The sequence below is a fragment of the Homo sapiens genome, chromosome 1 (genome assembly GCF_000001405.40).
Source record: "Homo sapiens chromosome 1, GRCh38.p14 Primary Assembly".
Classification (NCBI taxonomy): domain Eukaryota; kingdom Metazoa; phylum Chordata; class Mammalia; order Primates; family Hominidae; genus Homo; species Homo sapiens.
This window is the reverse complement of record NC_000001.11, coordinates 2,693,923-2,702,781: the sequence shown is the minus strand read 5'-3', so window position 1 is coordinate 2,702,781 and position 8,859 is coordinate 2,693,923. Positions and strand designations below refer to the sequence as shown.

The 8,859-nt window shown below is 61.8% G+C and overlaps 1 protein-coding gene and 1 long non-coding RNA gene across 3 annotated transcripts in view, besides 1 other annotated feature; one reads left to right on the top strand and one right to left on the bottom strand.

Annotated features, from left to right (window-relative positions):
• Positions 1–8,859, top strand: part of TTC34 (tetratricopeptide repeat domain 34) — a 164,708-nt gene that overhangs the window by 98,912 nt on the left and 56,937 nt on the right. The window lies entirely within an intron of this gene.
• Positions 506–1,405, bottom strand: LOC105378602 (uncharacterized). Of its 2 annotated transcripts, none has more exons than XR_946871.2 (3): positions 995–1,405; positions 834–912; positions 506–751 (listed from the first exon to the last, which is right to left on the bottom strand). It is a non-coding gene; the product is annotated as an uncharacterized LOC105378602 (long non-coding RNA). The 2 variants fall into 2 exon arrangements; XR_946870.2 differs by having other exon boundaries at positions 834–953; positions 1,036–1,405.
• Positions 4,792–5,293: an enhancer, noted in NCBI's record as "OCT4 hESC enhancer chr1:2628928-2629429 (GRCh37/hg19 assembly coordinates)". NCBI's record gives its function as "activates a minimal SCP1, AML or CMV promoter by ChIP-STARR-seq in naive H9 embryonic stem cells {active_cell/tissue: H9 hESC(naive)}" and the evidence as "EXISTENCE:reporter gene assay evidence [ECO:0000049][PMID:30033119]".

Sequence of the window (8,859 nt, the reverse complement as noted above, 5' to 3'; positions counted from 1 at the left end):
GAATTCTGTTCCAGGCTGTCGGATGCTCACCTGGAGGTGAGGATGCCATTCCATGCGGTCAGATGCTCACCTGGGGGTGTGGGTGCTGCTCCAGGCTGTCGGATGCTCACCTGGAAGTGAGGATGACATTCCATGCGGTCAGATACTCCCCTGGGGGTGTGGGTGCTGCTCCAGGCTGTCAGATGCTCACCTGGGGGTGTGGGTGCTGCTCCAGGCTGTCAGATGCTCGCCTGGGGGTGTGGGTGCGGTTCCAGGCTGTCAGATGCTCACCTGGAGGTGAGGATGCCATTCAATGTGGTCAGATGCTCACCTGGGGGAGTGGATGCTGTTCCAGGCTGTCAGATGCTCACCTGGGGGTGTGGGTGCTACTCCAGGCTGTCAGATACTCACCTGGGAGTGTGGGTGCTGCTCCAGGCTGTCAGATGCTCACCTGGGGGTGTGGGCGCTGCTCCAGGCTGTAAGATGCTCACCTGGGGGTGTGGGCGCTGCTCCAGGCTGTCAGATGCTCACCTGGGGGTGTGGGTGTTGCTCCAGGCTGTCAGATTCTCGCCAGCGGGTGTGGGTGCTGTTCCAGGCTGTCATATGCTCATCTGCCAGTAGGGGTGCTGTTTTATGCTGCCAGATGCCCACCTCGGGGTGAGGGTGCTGTTCTAGGTTGTCAGATGCTCCCCTGGGGGTGAGAGTGCTGTTCCTTGCTTTCAGATGCTTACTGGGAGGCCTGGGGTTCTGTTCCAGGCTATCAGATGTTCACCTGGAAGCAGTGGGGGGGTTTCCAGGCTGTCAGATGCTCACGTGTGGGTAGAGGGTGCTTTCCCAGGCTGTCAAATGCCCACCTGGGGGCAGTAGTCTTGTTCCATGCTGTCAGATTTTTGCCTGGGTGCGGGGTGCTGTTTCAGGCTGTCATATTCTCACCTGAAGGTGGAGGGTGCTGTTTCAGGCTGTCAGATGCTCACCTGGGGGTGCAGGGTGCTGTTTTATGCTGTCAGATTCTCACCTGGAAGAGTGGGGTTCTGTTCCAGGTTGTCAGATCCTCACCTGGGGCTTGAGAATTCTGTTCCAGGCTGTCCGATGCTCACCTGGAGGTGAGGATGACATTCCATGTGGTCACATGCTCACCTGGGGGTGTGGGTGCTGCTTCAGGCTGTCAGATGGTCACCTGGGGCTGTAGATGCTGTTCCAGGTTGCCAGATGCTCACCTGGGGGTGTGGGTGCTGACCCAGGCTGTCAGATCTCACCTGGGGGTATGGGTGCAGCTCCAGGATGTCAGCTACTCAACTGGGGGTGTGGGTGCTGCTCCAGGCTGTCAGATGCTAACCTGGGATTGTGGGCGCCTGCTCCAGGCTGTCAGATGCCCACCTGGGGGTGTGGGCGCTGCTCCACGCTGTCAGATGCTCACCTGGGGGTGTGGGCGCTGCTCCAGGCTGTCAGATGCTCACCTCGGTGTGTGGGCGCTGCTCCAGGCTGTCAGATGCTCACCTGGGGGTGTGGGTGCTGCTCCAGGCAGTCAGATGCTCACCTGGGGGTGTGGGTGCTGCTCCAGGCTGCCAGATGCTCACCTGGGGGTGTGGACGCTGCTCCGGGCTGTCAGATGCTCACCTGGGGCTGTGGGCGCCGCCCCAGGCTGTCAGATGCTCACCTGGGGGTGTGGGTGCTGCTCCCGGCTGTCAGATGCTCGCCCGGGGGTGTGGGCGCTGCTCCAGGCTGTCACATGCTCACCTGGGGGTGTGGGCGCTGCTCCAGGCTGTCAGATGCTCGCCTAAGGTTGTGTGTGCTGCTCCAGGCTGTCAGATGCTCGCCTGGGGGTGTGGGTGCTGTTCCAGGCTGTCATATGCTCATCTGCCAGTAGGGGTGCTGTTTTATGCTGCCAGATGCCCACCTCGGGGTGAAGGTGCTGTTCTAGGTTGTCAGACGCTCCCCTGGGGTCGAGAGTGCTGTTCCGTGCTTTCAGATGCTTACTTGGAGGCCTGGGGTTCTGTTCCAGGCTATCAGATGTTCATCTGGAAGCAGTGGGGTGTTTCCAGGCTGTCAGATGCTCACGTGTGGGTGGAGGGTGCTTTCCCAGGTTGTCAAATGCTCACCTGGGAGCAGTGGTCTTGTTCCATGCTGTCAGATTTTTGCCTGGGGTGTGGGGTGCTGTTTCAGGCTGTCATATTCTCACCTGAAGGTGAAGGGTGCTGTTTCAGGCTGTCAGATGCTCACCTGGGGGTGCAGGGTGCTGTTTTAATGTTGTCAGATTCTCACCTGGAAGAGTGGGGTTCTGTTCCAGGTTGTCAGATCCTCACCTGGGGTTTGAGAATTCTGTTCCAGGCTGTCGGATGCTCACCTGGGGGTGTAGGTGCTGCTCCAGGCTGTCGGATGCTCGCCTAGGGGTGTGGGTGCTGCTCCAGGCTGTCAGATACTCACCTGGGGTTGTGGGCGCTGCTCCAGGCTGTCGGATGCTCACCTGCGGGAGTGGGTGCTGCCCCAGACTGTCGGATGCTCACCTGGGGGTGTGGGTGCTGCTCCAGGCTATCGCATCCTCGCCTGGGCGTGTGGGTGCTGCTCCAGGCTGTCAGATGCTCACCCTGGGGGGGTCGGCGCTGCTCCAGGCTGTCGGATGCTCACCTGGGGGAGTATGTGATGCTCCAGGATGTCCGATGCTCACCTGGGGTGAGGATGCTGCTCCAGGCTCTCGGATGCTCACCTGGGACTGTGGGTGCTGCTCCAGGTGGTCATATGCTCACCTCTGGGTGTGGGCGCTGCTCCAGGCTATCAGATGCTCACCTGGGGGTGTGGACGCTGCTCCAGGCTGTCAGATGCTCACCTTGGGGTGTGAGCATTTCTCCAGGCTGTCAGATGCTTACCTGGGTGTGTGGGAGCTGCTCCAGGCTGTCAGATGCTCAACTGCGGGTATGGGTGCTGCTCCAGGCTGTCAGATGCTCATCTAGGGGTGTGGGCGCTGCTCCAGGCTGTCGGATGCTCACCTGGGGGAGTATGTGATGCTCGAGGATGTCCGATGCTCACCTGGGGTGTGGGTGCTGCTCCAGGCTGTCGGATGCTCAAATGGGGGTGTGGGTGCTGCTCCAGGCTGTCAGATGCTCACCTGGAGGTGTGGGCGCTGCTCCAGGCTGTCAGATGCTCACCTTGGGGTTTGGGCGCTTCACCAGGCTGTCAGATGCTGACCTGGGTGTGTGGGTGCTGCTCCAGGCTGTCAGATGCTCACCTGGGGGTGTGGGTGCTGCTCCAGGCTGTCAGATGCTCACCTGGGGATGTGGGTGGTGTTCCAGGCTGTCAGATTCTCGCCTGGGTGTGTGGGTGCTGCTCCAGGCTGTCAGATGCTCGCCTGTGGGTGCGGGGTGATGTTCCAGGCTGTCAGATACTCACCTTGGGGTGTGGGGTGCTGTTCCAGGCTGTCAGATGCTCACCTGCGGGTGTGCGGTGCTGTTCCAGGCTGTCAGATGCTCGCCTGGAGTTGTGGCTGCTGCTCCATGCGGTCAGATGCTCGCCTGGGGGTGTGGGTGCTGCTCCATGACTTCAGATGCTCGCCTTGGGGTATGGGTGCTGCTCCGGGCGGTCAGATGCTCACCTGGGGGTGTGGGTGCTGCTCCAGGTTGTCAGATGCTCACCTTGGGCTGTGGGTGCTGCTCCACACTATCAGATGCTAACCTGGGGGTGTGGGCACTGCTCCAGGCTGTCAGATGCTCACTTGGGTGTGTGGGCGCTGCTCCGGACTCTCCGATGCTCACCTGTGGTTGTGGGTGCTTCTCCAGACCATCAGATGCTCACCTGGTGGTGTGGGTGCCTTTCCAGGCTGTCAGATGCTCACCTGGGGGGGCAGGGTGATGTTCCAGGCTGTCAGATGCTCACCTGAGGGTGCAGGATACTACTCCAGGCTGTCAGATGCTCACCTGGGGGTGTGGGTGCTGCTCCAGGATGTCAGATGCTCGCCTGGGAGTGTGGGTACTGTTGCAGGCTGTGAGATGCTCACCTGTGGGTGTGGGGTGCTGCTCCACGATGTCGGATGTTCACCTGGGGGTGTGGGTCCTGCTCCAGGCTGTCGGATGCAAGCCTGGGGTTGTTGGTGCTGCTCCAGGCTGTCGAATGCTCACCTGGGGGTGTGGGTGCTGTTCCAGGCTGGCGGATGCTGGCCTGGCGGTGTGGGTGCTGTTCCAGGCTGTCCGATGCTCGTCTGGGAGTGTGGGTGCTGTTCCAGGCTGTCAGATGCTCATCTGGGGGTGTGGGTGCTGCTCCAGGCTGCCCGATGCTCACCTGGGGGTGTGGGGTGCTGCTTCAGGCTGTCAGATGCTCGCCTGGGAGTGTGGGTGCTGATCCAGGCTGTCACATGCCCACCTGGGGGTGTGGGTGCTGCTCCAGGCTGTCGGATACTCACCTGGGTGTGTGGGGTGCTGCTCCAGGCTGTCCGATGCTCGCCTGTGGGTGTGGGTGCTGTTCCAGGACGTCAGATGCTCGCCTGGGGGTGTGGGTGCTGTTCCAGGCTGTCACGTGCGCACCGGGGGTGCAGGGTTCTGTTTCAGGCTGTCAGATGCTTACCTGGGGGTGTGGGTGCTGTTACATGCTGTCAGATGCTCGCCTGGGGGTGTGGGTGCTGTTCTAGGCTGTCAGAGGCTCACCTGAGCGTGTGGGTGCTGTTCCAGTCTGTCAGATGCTCACCTGGGGGTGTGGGTTCTGCTCCAGGCTGTCGGATGTTCACCTGGGGGTGTGGGTGCTGTTCCAGGCTGTCAGATGCTCAACTGGCGGTGTGCGTGCTGCTCCAGCCCGTCAGAGGCTAACCTGGAGGTGTGGGTGCTGTTCCAGGATATAAGATGCTCACCTGGGGGTGTGGGTGATGTTCCAGGCGGTCAGCTGCTCACCTGGGGGTGTGGGTGCTGTTCCAGGTTGTCAGATGCTCACCTGTTGGTGTGGGTGCTGCTTCAGGCTGTCAGATGCTCACCTGGAGTGTGGGTGCTGCTCCAGGCTGTCTGATCCTCACCCGGGGGTGCAGGGTGCTGTTCCAGGCTGTCAGATGCTCGCCTGGGGGTGTGGTTGCTCTTCCAGGCTGTCAGATGCTCACCTGGGGGTGTGGGTGCTGCTCCAGGCTGTCGGATGCTCACCTGGAGGTGAGGATGCCATTCCATGCGGTCAGATGCTCACCTGGGGGTATGGGTGCTGCTCCAGGCTGTCGGATGCTCACCTGGGGTTGTGGGAGCTGTTTCAGGATGTCGGATGCTCACCTGGGGGTGTGGGTGCGGTTCCAGGCCATCAGATGCTCGCCTGGGTGTGTGGGTGCTGTTCCAGGCTGTCATGTGCGCACCTGGGGGTGCAGGGAGCTGTTCCAGGCTGTCAGATGCTCATCTGGGCGTATGGGTGCTGTTCCAGGCTGTCAGATGCTCTCCTTGGGGTGCAGGGTGCTGTTCCACGCTGTCAGATGCTCATCTGGGCGTATGGGTGCTGTTCCAGGTTGTCAGATGCTCGCCTGGGGGTGTGTGTGCTGTTCCAGGGTGTCAGATGCTCGCCTGGGGGTGTGTGTGCTGTTCCAGGGTGTCACTTGCTCACCTGGGGGTGCAGGGTGCTGTTCCAGGCTGTCAGATGCTCACCTGGGGATGTGGGTGCTGCTCCAGGATGTCAGATGCTCACCTGGGTGTGTGGGTGCTGTTCCACGCTGTCACGTGCGCACCTGGGGGTGCAGGGTGCTGTTCCAGGCTGTCAGATGCTCACCTGGGGGTGTGGGTGCTGTTACATGCTGTCAGATGCTCGCCTGGGGGTGTGGGTGCTGTTCCAGGCGGTCAGATCCTCACCTGGGGGTGTGCGCGCTGTTCCAGGCTGTCAGATGCTCTCCTGGGGGTGCAGGGTGCTGTTCCAGGCTGTCAGAGGCTCACCTGTGGTTGTGGGTGCTGCTCCAGACCATCAGATGCGCATCTGGGGGTGTGGGTGCTGCTCCAGGCTGTCGGATGCTCGCCGGAAGGTGTGGGTGCTGCTCCGTGGGTTCAGATGCTCGCCTGTGGGTGTGGGTACTGTTACAGGCTGTCAGATGCTCACCTATGGGTGTGGGGTGCTGCTCCACGATGTCGGATGTTCACCTAGGGGTGTGGGTCCTGCTCCAGGCTGTCGGATGCTCACCTGGGGGTGTGGGTGCTGTTCCAGGCTGGCGGATGCTCGCCTGGCGATGTGGGTGCTGCTCCAGGCTGTCCTATGCTCGTCTGGGAGTGTGGGTGCTGTTCCAGGCTGTCAGATGCTCACCTGGGGGTGTGGGTGCTGATCCAGGCTGTCCGATGCTCACCTGGGGGTGTGGGGTGCTGCTCCAGGCTGTCAGATGCTCGCCTGGGAGTGTGGGTGCAGATCCAGGCTGTCACATGCTCACCTGGGGGTGTGGGTGCTGCTCCAGGCTGTCGGATGCTCCCCTGGGGGTGTAGGGTGCTGCTCCAGGCTGTCCGATCCTCGCCTGGGGGTGTGGGTGCTGTTCCAGGCTGTCACGTGCACACCTGGGGGTGCAGGGTGCTGTTCCAGGCTGTCAGATGCTTACCTGGGGGTGTGGGTGCTGTTACATGCAGTCAGATGCTCTCCTGGGGGTGTGGGTGTTGTTCCAGGCTGTCACGTGCACACCTGGGGGTGCAGGGTGCTGTTCCAGGCTGTCAGATGCTTACCTGGGGGTGTGGGTGCTGTTACATGCAGTCAGATGCTCGCCTGGGGGTGTGGGTCCTGTTCCAGGCTGTCAGATGCTCACCTGGGGGTGCGCGTGCTGTTCCAGGCTGTCAGAGGCTCACCTGGGCGTGTGGGTGCTGTTCCAGTCTGTCAGATGCTCACCTGGGGGTGTGGGTTCTGTTCCAGGCTATCAGATGCTCAACTGTGGGTGTGGGTACTGCTCCAGACCATCAGATGCTCACCTGGAGGTGTGGGTGCCGACCCAGGCTGTCAGATGCTCGCCTCGGGGTGTGGGTTCTGCTCCAGGCTGTCGGATGTTCACCTGGGGGTGTGGATGCTGTTCCAGGCTGTCAGATGCTCAACTGGGGGTGTGCGTGCTGCTCCAGCCTGTCAGATGCTCACCTGGGGGTGTGGGTGCTGTTCCAGGATTTCAGCTGCTCACCTGGGGGTGTGGGTGCTGTTCCAGGCTGTCAGATGCTCACCTGGGGGTGTGGGTGCTGTTCCAGGCGGTCAGATGCTCACCTGTTGGTGTGGGTGCTGCTTCAGGCTGTCAGATGCTCACCTGGAGTGTGGGTGCTGCTCCAGGCTGTCTGATCCTCACCCTGGGGTGCAGGATGCTGTTCCAGGCTGTCAGATACTCGCCTGGGGGTGTGGTTGCTCTTCCAGGCTGTCAGATGCTCACCTGGGGGTGTGGGTGCTACTCCAGGCTGTCGGATGCTCACCTGGAGGTGAGGATGCCATTCCATGCGATCAGATGCTCACCTGGGGGTATGGGTGCTGCTCCAGGCTGTCGGATGCTCACCTGGGGGTGTGGGAGCTGTTTCAGGATGTCGGATGCTCACCTGGGCGTCTGGGTGCAGTTCCAGGCCATCAGATGCTCGCCTGGGTGTGTGGGTGCTGTTGCAGGCTGTCAGGTGCGCACCTGGGGGTGCAGGGACCTATTCCAGGCTGTCAGATGCTCATCTGGGCGTATGGGTGCTGTTCCATGCTGTCAGATGCTCTCCTGGGGGTGCAGGGTGCTGTTCCACGCTGTCAGATGCTCATCTTGGCGTATGGGTGCTGTTCCAGGTTGTCAGATGCTCGCCTGGGGGTGTGTGTGCTGTTTCAGTGTGTCAGATGCTCACCTGGGGGTGCAGGGTGCTGTTCCAGGCTGTCAGATCCTCACCTGGGGGTGCAGGGTGCTGCTCCAGGCTGTCAGATGCTCACCTGGGGGTGTGGGTGCTGCTCAAGGATGTCAGGTGCTCGCGTGAGTGTGTGGGTGCTGTTCCAGGCTGTCGGATGCTCACCTGTGGTTGTGGGTGCTGCTCCAGACCATCAGATGCTCACCTGGGGGTGTGGGTGTCGTTCCAGGCTGTCAGATGCTCGCCTGGGTGTGTGGGTGCTGCTCCAGGCTGTCGGATGCTCACCTGTGGGTTTGGGGTGCTGCTCCACGATGTCAGATGCTCACCTGTGGTTGTGGGTGCTGCTCCAGGGTGTCCAATGGTCACCTGGCGGTGTGTGTGCTGTTCCAGGCCGTCAGATGCTCGCCGGGAGGTGTGGGTGCTGCTCCGTGGTTTCAGATGCTCGCCTGTGGGTGTGGGTACTGTTCCAGGCTGTCAGATGCTCACCTGTGGGTGTGGGGTGCTACTCCACGATGTCGGATGTTCACCTGGGGGTGTGGGTCCTGCTCCAGGCTGTCGGATGCACGCCTGGGGTTGTGGGTGCTGCTCCAGGCTGTCGAATGCTCACCTGGGGGTGTGGGTGCTTTTCCAGGCTGGCGGATGCTCGCCTGGCAGTGTGGGTGCTGCTCCAGGCTGTCCGATGCTCGTCTGGGAGTGTGGGTGCTGTTCCAGGCTGTCAGATGCTCATCAGGGGGTGTGGGTGCTGCTCCAGGCTGTCCGATGCTCACCTGGGGGTGTGGGGTGCTGCTCCAGGCTGTCAGATGCTCGCCTGGGGGTGTGGGTGCTGATCCAGGCTGTCACATGCTCACCTGGGGGTGTGGGTGCCGTTCCAGGCCGTCAGATGCTCGCCTGGGGGTGTGTGTGCTGTTCCAGGCTGTCACGTGCGCACCTGGGGGTGCAGGGTGCTGTTCCAGGCTGTCAGATGCTCACCTGGGTGTGTGGGTGCTGTTACGTGCTGTGAGATGCTCGCCTGGGGGTGTGGGTGCTGTTCCAGGCGGTCAGATGCTCACCTGGGTGTGTGCGTGCTGTTCCAGGCTGTCAGATGCTCCCCTGGGGGTGCAGGGTGCTGTTCGAGGCTGTC